Here is a 16778-nt window from a genome sequence, read left to right as displayed (position 1 = left end):
TGTTTTCTCCTAAATTTTTTCTGTGCCATGAGTCCTTACTATTCTACAGAGGTTCCCTGCCTTTCCAGTCTCATAGTGTCCTTACTATGTCAATTTTTTCATAGAATCCTTAAACTAAGGCAAAGAAAGAAAGAAACAGCAAGTAAACAAACAAAATGCTAAAATCCTAATATTTCATTTATTAAATAGGTTCAAAAACTTAATAGTGGTAGTTTGTGTGGTGTCCGATAATTCAAAAATTTAAATATCTCACAACACGCCTGTTCATGAAAGCCCCTAGCAAACTGTGGGTTTAGGCTACTGAGACAAAAAACCCAAGACGACTTCTTTCTCTGCTGTTATATGCCTTCCTTTTTTTTTTTTTTTTAGGCAGGGTCTTGCTTTATTGGCCAGGCTGGAGTGCAGTGATGTGATCATAGCCCACTGCAGCCTCATCCCCTGGGTTCAAGCCTCAGCCTCAGCCTTTTAAGTAGCTGGGACTACAGGCTTATACCACTATACTTGGCTAATTTTTAAGCTTTTTGTAGAGATGGGGTTTCACTAGATTGCCCAGGCTGGTCTTTAACTCCTGGGCTCAAGAGATCCTCTTGCCTTTGCCTCCCAAAGTGCTGGAATTACAGGCATGAGCCACTGAGCCTGGCATGTTATATGCCTTTTTATGCACAAAAGCTCAGAAGGGTCTGCTTTTGAGTACCATTTGGCAGTAGTGAATGATGTGGTTGTGGGAGGAGAACAGGATATCGTGGAAAGTAAATGGCATAAAAACAAATGGTTTGGTTAGGGAATCAAGAGCCATTATAAGTATTACTGATACAAGAGATATATTATAGAAAAGGGAAGGAGCTTGGATTTATTAGAGGAAAAAGAAAGAACAGCCGGGCATGGTGGCTCACACCTGCAATCCTAGCACTTTGGGAGGCTGAGGCGAGTGGATTGCCTGAGCTCAGGAGTTCAAGACCAGCCTGGGCAACATGGTGAAACCCCATCCCTACTAAAATACAAAAAATTATCTGAGTGTGGCGGCATGCGCCTGTAATCCCAGCTACTCAGGAGGCTGAGGCAGGAGAATTGCTGGAACCTGGGAGGCAGAGGTTGCAGTGAGCTGAGATCGTGCCACTGTGCTCCAGCCTGGGCGACAGAGCCAGACTCTATCTTAAAAAAGAAAGAAAGAAAGAAAGAAAGAAAGAAAGAAAAGTAAAAAGAAAGAATGTGGTGAAGTGAAGTTTTGGAAGTTTTTAGAAGGGGTTTTGGAAGTTTTTGGAAGTTTGGAAGTTTTTGGAAGGGGTAATGAGAGTGATGGAGAGTCTAGTGCATCTGTTACATGGGTGACAAGTCAAAGACTGCAGAAAAGCCCAAGAAGCCCAAGCATGCAGCTAACAAAGGGTGAGCTCATGGAGAGGTCTATGGACACCTGTTAGCCCTGTGGGTCCACAGCCAAGTGTCTGGGGCCACGGTTAGCAAGCAAAACCAAACTAGAGGAAAAATATGTCTACATGCATGCAGTGATGGGGCTGGGGGAGAAGTAGGAGGAGAATTGAACAAATAAAGAAGAGTTTTATTTAGGAAGATTAGGAGATAACAGCTTTCTCAGGTGGCTAAGCAAATAGCCCCAAAAGATAATTTAAAATATTAGATTCTAAGGCTGGAGAGTTTTTTGGGCAAAATAATTAAACAAAAAACAAAAAAAAAGAAAGAAAAAACCTCTTGAGGATTGCCTATCTTGCAATTATTTGTACCTCTTTTATTGTCATTTATTAATGTCCTCAACAGGAATGATTGGCATGTCAGTTGCAATGAATGAGAGAGATCAAGAATAAATGGTGTAAGGAAATTACTTTCCTTCAGTTTATAAACATAAAAGGAAATCTTCAAATGCTCTGGTACTCGTGGCAAAGGCAGTTGGTTGTGATACTGTCACACTTCCAGACAAATTGAGTCTATGAGTTCTATTTAAAACTGTAAAAGCCACTGAGCATAGAAATAACTTGGCTTTTGATCTTAATTACATAGAGTCATATCGTAGTGTAAATATGAATTAAGCATTTGTAATTTTTTTTAAGACAGAGTCTCACTCTGTTGCCCAGGCTGGAGTACAGTGGCGTGATCTCAGCTCACTGCAACCTCCGCCTCCCAGGTTCAAGTCATTCTCCTGCCTCAGCCTCCTGAGGCTACAGGCACATGCCACCATGCCCGGCTAATCTTTGTATTTTTAGTACAGACGGGATTTCACCACGTTGGCCAGGCTGGTCTCAAACTCCTGACATCAGGTGATCCACCTGCCTTGGCCTCCCAAAGTGCTAGGGTTACAGGCATGAGCCACCGTGCCCAACCAAGTATTCGTATCTTTAAGTCACTTTAGTGGTACTAAAATGTTGGTAATCTGCTGGTTTAATGCTATAGTGAATTGTAGTGATGATTTTTGGGTTGAAAACCATAGCCTGTAGTTCTCAATGCCTAAAATCCTGACAAATTTAAACAGACGCTGTAGAGGATGTACATTAGTCAGTTAGTGCTGGATGACAAACAATCACAAAATCTAGTGACATAAAACCATAAGTATTTATTTCTTGTTCATTCATTTGTGTGTCAGTTCTAGTTCAGCTTCTTCAAGCTCTGGCTGAGGGTTGGGCTTGAGTCTCCTTCATGAATATTCCTTTTGGGACTTGGTCTACAAAGTAATAGCTATCCAGCAGAAGTTCTTTTCATAGCAATAAGAAGGAGTGCAGGAGGCAAACTCAATCACACAGACACATTCTAGCCTTGGCTCTCATCATGTATGCTAACATCTTATTGGTTAAAGGAAGTCACATGGCTAAATCCATCAGTAGGGAAGTGTGTTCCTTCTATGGAAAGGGGAAGAATGAACATTTCCTTAGCAACAATCTAATTTACTGTAAGATGCTTTATATATTGCTATTATTCCTAAAAATTCTTTAATTTCTTAACATTTCAAATTATATAAGTTTGTATTTAGTTGCAAGTGACAGAAAACCCACAGGAGCTTAAACAATATAAACTTTTATTTCATACATATAAATGAAGTCCACAGGAAAGCAAGCTGAAATGGCATGGCATCTTTATAATTTTCAAGAATGCAGCGGCTTCTCTTCAGCTCTATTCCTATTCCCAGGCCGCCTTCTGATCCAAGAAGGCTGCTCAAGTTCCAGCCATCAAGTTCATATTCCAGACAGCAAGGTGAAGAACAAGATGAAGGAAGTCACATCTCTTCTCTTCCCAGAAGTTGCACACAATTCTTTTGCTTGTCTTATTGGCCAGAAATTATTCACATAATTACACTAGCAAGGAAAGTTAGAAACTTAGACTGTATTCTTGGAATTCTCCAGGTATCTATATTTGCTGTCAAAAATAATGGATTTTATAATGTTAATATACTATTAGAGAAGAACAGCTGTTGGTGTAAACAATTGATAGTCTTTGCCACAAATTCCAAAGAAACTACATTCTTGTCACTACCTAGCCTTTCAATGAGATATTTTATTCCTTCTTCTAAGTTCTTACAATAAAAATATGATTGTTAACAAAGACACCATAGATATTATCTCTTAAATTAAAGTTCTGAGTTATTTTTAGTTACAGCTGGCAAGCTGCCAAAAGGAAAAAGGGAGAGGGACTGAAGTTTCTAATATGGATGTCAATTCTCAGTGGAATTATCCAGCTCTACTACCTTCCAAGTTGATCCTGAGAACGGATTCCAGGGACAGCCATTACTTTATCTTTACTACTATAATATGTTAATTTCAGTATATGAGTTCTTGAAAGACTTCAGAGAAGAGAACATTTCCTGTTACGAATAAATGGTTACAAGTTGAATTAACCCACAGACATTGATGGTTGTCATGATCATTAACCTGTAATCAAGGTTATCCAAGATCTGTTCCCAATTTACCTTTCTAGGTCTGTCTCCCACTACTCTTTTTCACGTATCTTTATAAAATTTATAACATGCTGAAAAAATGTCAAGTATTATAGATGACTTTCTTAAACAAACTAGATTAATTGTGCCACCCAAATATATCCTGTATCTTACTTTTTTGCCTATGCTTGAGTCATCTCAGTAGAGTGACCCACGTCATACCTACTATAAGTTTATCCATTAGTTTAAGACTGAAACCAAAATCTTTCTTAAGAAAGTCTCTCTAGAATCCCATAATCAGAAGTGATTTCTCTCAAAAGTCCAATACAACTGTATATTATATTCCCTCCTTCCTTTATTCATTCATAATTAATATTTATTGAAACCTATTTTGTGTCACTGTGCTAGGTTTCATTTATAGTCTAATGGAAGGCATTAATCAAATAACATATTCCTTATGTATAGACCATGACCTATCTCACATTATACTGCTACTGTTCATCTTGCTTACTTCCCCAAGCACTGAAAACAAATGGAAAAGCTGTGTTTTATCGTGTGCCTACCCTTCTGACACCTAGTAATGTGCCTTGCATTGTTAGTTAAATGTTCAGCAGCAATATTCGATGAATATTTCATTTATTGCCTTACTCTTCACCCCGGGGGAAGCAATTCAGAGGACATATGTTACCATTAACTGCTGTAGAAAAATTCATTTGAAATTGAAACACGCATTTAAAAATATATACATGTGTCTTCATAACTGGAGTGTTGAGGATGGAGAAGAACCTATAAGATGAAAATCCAGCGTGTTTGCCTTATTAGAAATGCAAATGTCTACTAAAATATGATTATGAGAATATGAGGTGTCCAGTGTCCAGACGTGCAAAAATCACACAGATAAAAGCAAATCTCTCTCTAATCTTTCTTTGCTTTGTGTAATTAAAAGACAGAAAGCAAACTACGCTTTCTAAATAAATGATATTCAGTCAGTTTTAGAAATGTTTGCATCCTGCTACAATCACCGCTATAATAGGTTTTCTAGGCTCTGCAGCCTTTTCCTTGTTTCCTGCTTATTCAGGCTTCAGATCTGTGGAGTGGATCATAATTAGGAATCTACTGGTTCTTTCCCCAACTCTGATTCAATTAGCCATATGTTACAGGCAGCAAACACAGTGGCTGTCAAACTTTAGCAATTACCAAGCGGGGGGGGGAGGGGAGAAAGGTTTGTGGGGTCAAAACTATGAACTTATAAAAAGCTCTTGAAGTAAAGGCAAATCTTAATAGTGGAGCATTAATCAGAATTTTGTCTGGCCATTCATTAATCATCTCACACGGACCAGCTCTGGAAAGAGCAGCCTTTCATACACGTGGGACAGAAGTGTTGAGCTCTCAGAGCAAAGGTATCAGAAAAGGCAATGAGTAAATATGCAATTCTGTTTACATTCTTCATTCCAACAGTGAAGAAAAATCAATAGGCTTACAGAATATGGCAATTGTCCTTTGAAATGAAGGCTTTCTGAAAGGTAGTTTTTCTAGCTCATAAGGGCTGATTCCAAATAAATGATTTACTCTTTGTGGAGTGCTACATGCTTAATGAGGGCTGTTCTGGGTAAGACTGGAAGTGGAAAATCCTTGGAGGGTCACTGTTAAATTCATTTTATCGAAAAGGCAGAACATTCAAATTTAAACATTTGACATTCAAAGCTGTGTTAGTTCAGAACTTCTCTGCTACATGCTGATTTGTTAGAGAAAGGGGGTTGGAAGTCCTGGGGTAGATAACATTTAAAAAAATAGTTGAAAGAAAATGAGCATTGAAGCATGTCATTCTTGAGGAAAAACTCACATAATTAGGTAGGCTTTGTGAAGAAATCTACTGCTTTAAAAAGAAAAAACCTATTAATTTTTTGGCTAACCTACCCATTCATGCTCTTCTCCATAGAAGGAGGAACTGAGTTACAATACAGCCACACTCCATTTAAAATAACATTTATTCAATAGCAGGTCTGCCTCGTAGGCAGGCTTACCTCCTCATAGAAAAGGCCTATTATAAATCCCAGTAATTTTCCCATGAGTTCTACAAAGAGTGTTTCTTTGTGGTGGGTTTGAGTACTTTATCCACTATAATTTAAATGTCTCAAATGATGTCACTTCAAACTGTTTCCCTCAGGAGGTTGCTCTAGTCTGAAAAAATCTTCATTAAGATATTTCTCTAGTATTTAACCTGGAATTTATTTATCTGTCATCCGAAATAGGTCGTTTCCCCACCAGCTTTAACCACTGAACTTTGTTCAAGAAGCGAGTGTGCTCTAGCATAAGAAAGGTTGTTATCTTTTCTTCATAAAATAAGTGACTTTTAGCTCAACTGTATTGAGTGCATTAAAATTCCCATTTGATTTATTTTGCTCTAGGTATGTATCCATGTCTGTGGACACTAGTTGAGATTTTGGTCCAGGAAAAGCTGAGGTTTGGTTGGGGGAGGGTGAAGGTGAGTGGAGAGGATTTTAAAGTGTAAACTTTTACTCTCTCATATCAAATAGAAATTTTAAAAAAATATCGAGAGGGTAAACATTCACCTAGTGGAAAAGAAACTGAAGAAATCAATGAAGCCACGGAATATAGGTGTGACCTTTAGACTTTTTTCTTTTTGAGGTTAACAAAGTGGAAAAGCATCTTGCTAAGAAGTCAGGGTACAAATTTCTGACCCCTTTAAGAACATCTACTGTAACACTTTAGCTTTAAGTACTTCTACTTATTTATTTATTTAATGACTGCATCTTACCCTGTCACCCAGACTGGAGTGCAGTGGCACTATCAAAGCTTACTGCAGCAAACTCCTGGGCTCAAGTGATCCTCCTGCCTCAGCCTCTCCAGTAGCTCAGACTACAGGCCTGTAGTGGCCTAATAATTTATCATCACTCCTGGCTAATTAAAAAAAAACCCCTTTTTTTTTTCTTTTTGTAGAGACAGGGCCTCTCTAAGTTGCCCAGGATGGTCTTGAACTCCTGGGCTAAATGCTTCTTCCTCCTCAGCCTCCCAAGTAGCTAAGACTTCTGCATTGATTTTAATAGCTTAATTGGAATGACAAGGGAAGTGAGGGTTGCCAGAGCCAACACGTTAAATGCCTGTCTTGGGTGGCAGGCAGCTCCATGGTGAAGAGAGAACTCACTGGGCTCCATTGCCCCTTCCTGTGATGGGCTACCACACAGGATGAGGATCTTTGCTGCTAAGTCTCTCATCTGTTTCAAGTGTGTGTGCATATTGACAGTTCTCCTAAGGAAAGCAGAGCACTCCTATGGAGGTCCTAGAGGGTACATACAGCAGCTGATGATAACGTTTTTTTTTTCTACTAGGAGAGTTTTAATTAAAACTACATGTGGTTTGAGATGTTTGCTGTTCTTTCTCTTCTGAAAATCCTTACAATTCATTTTGCATAAAAAGAAAAATTCTAAAGTCTTTCATTTAAATAGTGAGATGATAGCTTCAGTAAGAATTGCTGTGTTGGGCTTTCATATATGGTTACTGAAAGCACAATGCAAAGGCCAGGACTGAATTTAACAGGCCATTTGCCGCAAGTAGCAGTATCACTGGATACCACCAACAGGTTCATGTTGAAGGTTTTTAAAAAAGCTTTTAAATTTTGCAATTAAAACATATACAGGCCAAGTGCAGTGGCTCATGCCTATAATCCCAGCACTTTTTGGGAGGCCGAGGTGGGTGGATCATTTGAGGTCAGGAGTTTGAGACCAGCCTGGCCAACACGGTGAAACCCCGCCTCTACTAAAAATACAAAAATTAGCCGGGCGTGGTGGCAGGTGCCTGTAATCCTAGCTACTTGGAAGGCTGAGGCAGGAGAATCACTTGAACCCGGGAGGCAGAGGTTGCAGTGAGCTGAGATCATGCCACTGCACTCCAGCATGGGCGACAGAGTGAGACTCCGTCTGAAAAAAAAAAAAAAACAAAACCAAAAAACCAAAAACGTATGGCCTAATAATTTATCATAAGGCATGTAACCACCACCCAGATCAAGAAATAAAATCTTCATTGCAGCGCTATTCACAATAGGAAAGACATGGACTCAACCTAAATGCCCATCAACGACAGATTGGATAAAGAAAAATGTGGTACATATACACCATGGAATACTATGCAGCCATAAAAAGAACAAGATCCACTTTGGGAGGCTGAGGCAGGCAAATCACGAGGTCAAGAGAGCGAGACCATCCTGGCCAACATAGTGAAACCCCGTCTCTACTAGAAATACAAAAATTAGCTGGGCATAGTGGTGCATGCCTGTAGTCCCAGCTACTTGGGAGGCTGAGGCAGGAGAATTGCCTGAACCTGGAAGTAAGTGGAGGTTGCAGTGGGCCGAGATCGCGCCACTGCACTCTAGCCTGGGTGACAGAGCAAGACTCCGTCTCAAAAAGGAAACAAAAAAAGAACAAGATCATGTGTTTTGTGAGAAGATGGGTGGAGCTGGAGGCTATTACCCTTAGCAAACTAACACAGAAACAGAGAACCAAATACCACATGTTCTCACTTATAAGTGGGAGCTAAATGATAAGAACTCATGAACACAAAGAAGAAAACAATAGACACTGAGGTCTACTTGAGGGAGGAGGGTGAGAGGAGGGAGAGGAGCAGAAAAGATCACTCTTGGGTACTAAGCTTAATACCTGGGTGATGAAATAATATGTACAACAAACCCTCACAACAGGTGTTTACCTATGTAACAAACCTTCACATGTACCCCCCAAATGTAAAATAAAAGTAAAACAAAATCCTGCCAGCACCCCAGAAATCCAACTTACGTTCCCTTCATCTTCCCTTGGCTGTTATTGTAATCATCTTCTGGCTTGCTTTATAGATTTATCTCTAGGCATGTGTTGCTAAACTCTATAGTTTAGTTTTGTCTGTTTTGAATTATATAGTGAGAAATTACACAATATAAATGCTTTCATGGCTGGTTTCTTTTGCTCGTCATATTTGTGAAATTTACTCAGGATTTTATTTTAACTGTAATTTTTATTTTTCAGTATTTTTTAATCTTCCATTATAGAATTACAGCTACAATTCATTTATCAATTTTACTGTTAATGGGCATTTGGGTATTTTTAGTTTGAGGCAAAAACAAATAATACCGCTAAGAACGTGCTTCTACATGGCGCTTGGTGCACATATGTACACATTTCTGTTATATCTGTTCCTAGGAGGGGAAGTGCTAGATCTACAGTGTGCTTGTATTCAATCCTTAGACACTGCCAGACTCTGCTAAGCAGATTGCATTAATTTTATATGCTAAACAATAGTGAATGCCTCAATGATTGGTATTTTCAGTCTTAAGTTTTGGCCACACTGATGGGTTTGTAGTGGTACTTTATCTACTTTTAGTTTACATTTTCCCTGAGTTTACATTAACCAATGAGTTCAGTACCTTTCACATGTTCATACATTCATTGACTATTTGGATATCATCTTTTGTGAGTTGGCTGTTCAAATCTCTTGCACATTTTTCCATTTGGTTGTTCACCTTTATTATTATTGGTTTGTAGAATTGTTTATGTATATTAAAAATATTGTCTCCTACTCATGGCTTACTTTTTACTCTCTTATTGATGTCTCAATAAACTTGATATAGTAACTTTAATTAGTCTTTCTTTTTATGATTTTGCTTTTGGTGCCCTGTTTATGAAGTCTTTTCCAATTCTATCTAGGTCATGAAGAAATTCTACTAACATCTTCTAGAAGCTTCAGAATTTTGTTTTTTCACACTTAAATTTGCAATCTCTCTGGCATTGTTTTCTCTGAATGGCATGTGATTAAGTTTAGAGTCCATTTTTTTTTTCACCTATGGGGATTTCCAATGTTGTCAGCAACATTTATTGTAAAGTTATGCTTTCCCTGCTATTCTGAAGTGCCATGTTAATTGTAATTCAGGATCTAGATATGAACAGGTCTATTTCTGGAATTTTGTTTTCATTTCATTGTTTTATTGTCTGTCCTTTAATCAATACCATATTGTGTTAATTATTTTTACATGTAGGGTGTATCAATGTCCTGTAGAGTAAGTCCTCGCATCATGTTCTTCTTCGAGAGTATCCTCACTATTCTGAGTCTATTGCATTTCCATATATTTCCATTTTGGTACCGGACTGGTCCAATTGCATTTTGATGCATTTTCATTTTAGGACCAGCTTTTCCAATTCCATGAAAACAACAACAAGACAAATACACAAACACATAAATATAAACACACACATAATATATGTAAACACACACATATAAAACAAATTTAAAAATGGGTTAAGATTTTAGCTGGGATTGTACTGACTCTATACAGCAGTTTGAAGAAAATTGACATTACATTATTGAGTCTTCAAACTCATGAACATGGTGTGTCTCTCCTTTTGTTTTAGTCTTTAAGGTCTTTCAATGTTTCATAGTTTTCTGTATAGAGGTCTTATATGTCTTTTGTTAGATTTAATATTTAATAATTTAACATTTTTGGTTTATAATAAATAGTATCATTTAAAAATTTTATTTTCTGTTTATTGTTGCCATAAAGTAATATATTTAGGAGCCTCTGGAGCTTCTAGAACATAACAGGAGAATATTCTTCCTGACCTGAAGTAGGAAAAGGAATGCATTTATTTACTTGTGTAGCAATTTTGATGAACTGTCTTGTTAATGCTAATTTTCTGTCATTCTTTTGACACTTCTATGAACACATGCACATATCATCTGGGTTTTATTTCTTATTTCTTTCTTTCCAGTCTTTCCCCCCATTTCCCATTCCTCATTTTCTTTCCCTTTTGTTTTTCTGTATTAGCTGGGCTCCCTTTCTGTACTGGTGGCTACCTTCTTCCAATGTTGAAAGGAAGTGGTAACGACAGACATACCCATCTTTTTCCAGATCTCAGTAGAAAGCTTACACCGTTTCACCGCTAAGAATAATGCTTGCTGTATCTTTCCTTTTCGTACTCTTTAACAAAATAAGAAGATTACCTTGTATTCCTAGTTTGATGAGAATTTTTATAATGAATAGATTTTGAATTTTATCACAGTATTTTCTTTATTTATTTAAATGATCATATGAATTTTCTCTTTTCCACTAATGTGATAAATTGAACTGACTGATTTTTAAATCTTTGACCAATCTTGCACTCTTGGAATGAACTCAGATTTTTATATTTTGCTAAATTTGATGTTAGAATTTTGTTTAGGATTTTTTCAATTTGTGCTCTGAGTGATACTGACTCAGACTTTTTCTTTCTTGAAGCATTTTTGTCATGGTTTGATATCAACATTAACATAATAACTTCAAAAATAAAGAGAAATAGTGCCTCATTTGCTGTTCTCTAGAAAAGTCTGTTTAAACGTTTGGTAGCATTTACCAGCAAACCATCTGGGCCTGTCATTTTCTCTGTGGGAAGGAATTAAATTGAGAATCCAGTATCTTTAACAGGCCATTTAGACTTTTTATTCTTGTCTTAGTTTTGGTAGCTTGTGCTTTGTCCATGTCATCTAAATTTTATTTTATTTATTTATTTTTGAGACAGAGTCTCACTCTGTTGCCCAGGCTGGAGTGCAGTGGCATGATCTCAGCTCATGGAAACCTCTGTCCCCTGGGTTCAAGCGATTCTTGTGCCTCAGCCTCCCAACTAACTGGGATTACAGGTGTGCACCACCATGCCCAGCTAATTTTTGTATTTTTAGTAGAGACGGGGTTTTGCCAGGTTGCCCAGGCTGGTTTCAAACTCCTGGCCTCAAGTGATCTGCCCGCTTTGGCCTTCCAAAGTGCTGGATTTCGGGCTTTAGCCACTGTGCCCAGCCATGTCATCTAAATTTTAAAATTTATTGACATGAAATTTTAAAAATAATATATTCTTTTTTCTTTTGTAGAGATGAGTCTCACTATGCTGCCCAGGCTGGTCTTGAACTCTTGTGTTGAAGTAATCCTCCTGCCTTGGCCTCCCAAAGTGCTGGGATTACAGGCATGAGCCACTGTGTCCGGCCTGTAATATCTTGTTATGATCATTTTAATGTCTGTATGATCTAAAGCAGGAGTGGGCAAACTATAGTTCTCAGGTCAACCTGGCCCATGGCCTGTTTTTGTTTGGGCCAGTGAGCTAAGAACGGTTTTTATATTTTGAAAGAGTTATTAAAAACAGAACAACAACAACCAAAACACAAGGATATGTGACAGAACCCAGTTTCTGCTCTTAGCTTTAATATTTCCTTAGTTTACATTTGTGGTTTAATTTCCTTTTCTTTTTTTAGCTTCTTGAGAACCCAGTTTTAATAAATACTATATTCTGTGTGTAGCAGAAAAGAACAAGTTTGCTATGCTGTTATTCAAATCTTCTACATCCTTACTGATTTTTTGTCTTTTTATTCTATTGGTTAGTAAGAGTTGTGTTAAAAATCTGCCTCTTTTATTGTGGATTCACAAATTTCTTTTTATAGTCCTGAAATGAACTACTCTTTTTGAGGTCATAGCATTAGACACATATAAATTTAGAGTTGTTACAACTTCCTGATGAATAAAATCTTTTATCATTATTAATTGGGATGGAAGGGAAGTACATTTTAAGCAGTAGCAACATTCTAACAAAGATAAAAGAAAATGTAAAACATATTTTGGAAGAGGAAATAATACGATTTAATTATATTGAGAGGTCTACTTTGGGGAATAGAAAAAAGGAGACTATGAAAATAGAGGGAGGGCTTTATTTTGGTTTGCTTCAAGCATCACAGTGAGAAGTTTGTATCTAAGCCAACCATACATTTTTGAATCCAGTTTTTTTTCACCTAAATTCAAGTTTGTCACAATCGTAAGCAATAACTTTGGCTTAAGGCTTTATACATCTTTACATATCTTTACCTAAGATAAGTGATCTTAACCATTTATTGTTAAACATCCAATTTTAGTAATTATTCTACCATCTTATTTCATTTTTCTCAAGAAAGGAAAGTAGATTTTTATAAACAAAAATAATGAATGAGTGCTCGTTTATTATCCTTTCCTGAAAATATTCATGCCAGCTCTCCTTTATTTTCTTCTGAACAATGACCTTTGAAAGAAAATAACTGGTGGAAAAACAAAGTGAAAGTCTTGCCTCAGAATTTGGCTCAGTGTCAGAGTGATGTATGCTCCAGTTTTACCTCAGAGACAGACAGTGGCTGCAGTGCAATGCTGATTTGGTGGGTGGGCTAGGTTAGGGTTCAGGACCCATTCAGCTGAGCCGAAGTTGCAGTGTGACTTGCTCGGCCACGCTGGGCTTGAAGCTGGCTAAAGGCAGGAATGGTGGGAGGTGCAGGAGAGCAGGCTTTAGGGCACACAGATGTTCATCTAATGGCCAGAAACTGCTCTGCCCTTTAGACTAGCCTCAACTTCTGGCTCACCTCACAGCCTCAAATCCACAGCAACCATATCAGCAATGATTTGTCAGAGACTGAACTGTTAATTTCTATTTCTCTGAATAGGACCTTCCATCTTCCCAGCCTTCTATTTGTTGGTACTAAGGATTCAGAAAAAGGCAGGTCCTAGCTGGGATGGGATGCTGATGTCCTTATCTGACAGGAGAGGTATCTATTACATGACTGGCTTTGTTCCCTGCTCAACCACTTACGTGTAGTGAGGCCATAGATAAATTACTTTATCTGTCTCTGCTTTCATTTCTATATCTGTAATCTGAAGATAATAGAGTTATACCTACTCCTTACACACTTTAGTGACATACTTGTGAAGATAAATTGAGGTTGAATTGTAACGTGTCTGCAAAGTCCCAAGAGCTTTGGGAATAAAGGCTATCTATAAATAAAAATGTATTATGAATGCTTGAATTTTAATAAAAGCTTTTATATTTTACCCTCATGGCACTTTAGAAAGTCATAACTGTTGAATATTGAACAGATCTTTTTTTTTTCTCTCTCCACCCTGCCTGAAATAACACTTTCTAAACTAAGTTAGATCCTGGGAGATATCCATAAAGAAGATAAAGTTTGTTTCTGTGCTTCCAGGTTCCCCATTTTGCCCTGTTTTCCTTCTCAGGATGATACACTTACACTACTATTCCAAACGGATTCAGGACTTTCAATGACTTTTTACCCCCATTAAAATACACTCTCAATCAAAAATTAAATAAACTTATCCATTGGGGCAGACTGACAAGCCTAATGTGTTATCTTTCAGTATTTTTAATCTTTTAAACCAGGACATTCTTTAGCCAAAGGATTTAATCTAAAGTGGGAAGTTTGGATTTCAATCTAAGTATGGAATGGAGGCGTTGATGCTGATGGTGACAAGGAAAGAAGGCAAGTAAGTTGGAGCTTTTTTTTTTCCTTTCTTTTTTTTTGAGACGGAGTCTCGCTCTATTGCCCTATTGCACAGGTTGGAGTGCAGTGGTGCCATCTCAGCTCACTGCAGCCTCCGCCTCCCGGGTTCCAGTGATTCTCCTGCCTCAGCCTCCTGGGTAGCTGGGATTACAGGCACGTGCCACCACACCCGGCTAATTTTTGTATTTTTAGTAGAGACAGGGTTTCATCATGTTGGCCAGGCTGGTCTCGAACTCCTGACCTCTCAGATGATCTGCCCACCTCAGCCTCCCAAAGTGCTGGGATTACAGGTGTGAGCCACTGTGCCTGACCGTAAGTTGGAGCTTCTGAAATCTTACCAGATAGGTACAGGCATTAAAAAATAACTCCAATATCAAACACTTTATATATAATCAGCCATAATTAAGAACACTAAGGAAGGCAACCCTCACTGAAGTAGATATTATTTGCTCCATTTTATAGATGAGGGTACGGAGGCTTGAAGAAATTAAATAACTGTGAGATCACACACCTAGAAAGCAGCTGATCTGAGCTCAAACAAGCTTGCTTGATTCCAAAGTAGCTTTCTTGCCATGTAGAGTAACAAAACAAATCATAAATATGTAGAACTATGGCTGGGATTAACTCTGGACTCAACTTCTTTTGTTCCTTTGATGCTAGTCAAGCACACTTTTTTTTTGGTGCTAGCAGTCTCCATGTCTCTGAATGTAATTTTTTTTTTTTTTGGACGGAGTTTCACTCTTGTTTGGCCAGGTTGGAGTGCAATGGTATGATCTTGGCTCACTGCAACCTCCACCTTCCAGATTCAAGCAATTCTCCTGCCTCAGCCTTCCAGGTAGCTGGGATTACAGGCATGCACCACCACGCTCAGCTAATTTTGTATTTTTAGTAGAGATGGGGTTTCATCATGTTGGTCAGGCTGGTCTCGAACTCCTGACCTCAAGTGATCCACCCGCCTCAACCTTCCAAAGTGCTGGGATTACAGGAGTGAGCCACCGCGCCTGGTCCTTGACTGTAATTTATGCCACAAAAATAGACATCCCTGTTCTCTGGAAATAATTATATTGTGGTAAAATGTCAAAATAGATCTTTGGTATATTCCAAATGCTTTTTAGTATATTACTAAATTTAGTAATACATGTGTTTTAATTAAAAATCAGAAAAATGTTGCTAATGCTATAATAATGCATTTATGCAGAACCCAATCTGGAGGCCCTTTCTTTATCAGCAGTTTCTTTGATGTGTGCAGCATTTCCCTTGAATCTCTCTCTCTTGAATAGTGTATTTTCTTAGTTCCCTTGATACTTCTTCAGCCAGTTTCCCTCATATTCTTTTTGCTGCTTCTTCTTTCTCTTTAATGTGTTTGTCTCTCAGAACTCTTGTGTCAGAATTCTGCTATTTTTTTTCTATTCCCAGTACTCCTTAAGCATGCATCATTTCTTATAGCCTCAATGACAATCTTTATGTTGGTTTTCATTTCTCTCCAGCATGAATCTTGATTCAGGCAATTCAAGCTTAGATTTCCATTCATTCTTCTTGCTTTTCTGTATACTTATGCTCAACACACACACACACACACACACACACACACACACACACACACACGAGTCACCCATTCAGTCCAAGCTCTGTGTTGCCCATGATATGGTACATTATAACACAGAATTCCTCATCTTTGCATTTTCTCCCTATCATATCAAAAAATTAAAATGGCAGAGGTATATATGAAAAGTAGTTTCCTGATAAAGTTAGTGATACTTACATACTGAAGTTTATCAGTAAAAATTAATAACTAGCATTAACTAAGTGGAGCCATTATCAAGCTATAAGTGTATCATTTGGTTTTCTTATGTTGTCTTCTCCTACCCATGGGTTCTCTCTACTCATTTACAGTTTTTCGTTCACTGTCATTTAATGACTCAGCTGCCTGTCAACAAGAGTATTAATTGGGGCCATTCATGACACGTCCTCTTGTCACATCTGCTCACTCCACTGCCATTACTCTGGTCATTCGATCTTTGATCCAGCACTCTCCCTAATCTAGATAAATTTTAGAATTTTTCAGGCTTCACGCTGTCAAATTTAAAATCTCTGGTATTCTCTATTAATATCCTTCCCCCTAACTCTGTCCTAAAGTGGAGGGACAGTCCTTACATTATTAACTGCCTATTTTTCTTTTAAAATTTGATGGCTTCCATTTTCCCAGGACATACTGAAATTATTTAAAAGGGAAAATTGTTTAAAATATGTTTCATTACAAATTGTGTAGTCTATTTCTCCACATAGCAAAAATCTTACCAATTTTCCCTTCACAAGCATTTTTGTTGCAATAAAAAATAGTTTGCAAATGATCTTTTGTAGTTTCACTTTCATCTCTAGAGTATTCTATCAGTTACCCTAATTGTGATCAACAGAAACTGACTACCGTTAGCTTAAACCAAAGTACATTTATTTAGGACCTTGGTGGTAGGGGAAGGGATGGATATGGTGCTTGCTTACGTGGGGATAACAGGCTAGCAGGCAGCAAGGCAAGGCTTGGGAACAGAGAGGAGCAAAAGGGGATTTAGAA

The 16778-nt window shown here is 37.9% G+C and overlaps 1 long non-coding RNA gene across 1 annotated transcript in view; it reads right to left on the bottom strand.

The window, feature by feature from the left end:
- Window positions 1-3002: 3002 nt before the first annotated feature.
- LOC107984527 (uncharacterized) overlaps window positions 3003-16778 on the bottom strand; it is a 32110-nt gene continuing 18334 nt past the window's right edge. The window contains exon 2 of the long non-coding RNA XR_001749033.1: window positions 3003-3357. This is a non-coding gene — a long non-coding RNA (uncharacterized LOC107984527). The remainder of the gene's footprint in view (window positions 3358-16778) is intronic.

Source organism: Homo sapiens, chromosome 12 (assembly GCF_000001405.40).
Source record: "Homo sapiens chromosome 12, GRCh38.p14 Primary Assembly".
NCBI lineage: Eukaryota > Metazoa > Chordata > Mammalia > Primates > Hominidae > Homo > Homo sapiens.
Note: the sequence above shows the minus strand (reverse complement) of the source record. Positions and strands in the feature narration are given on the sequence as shown.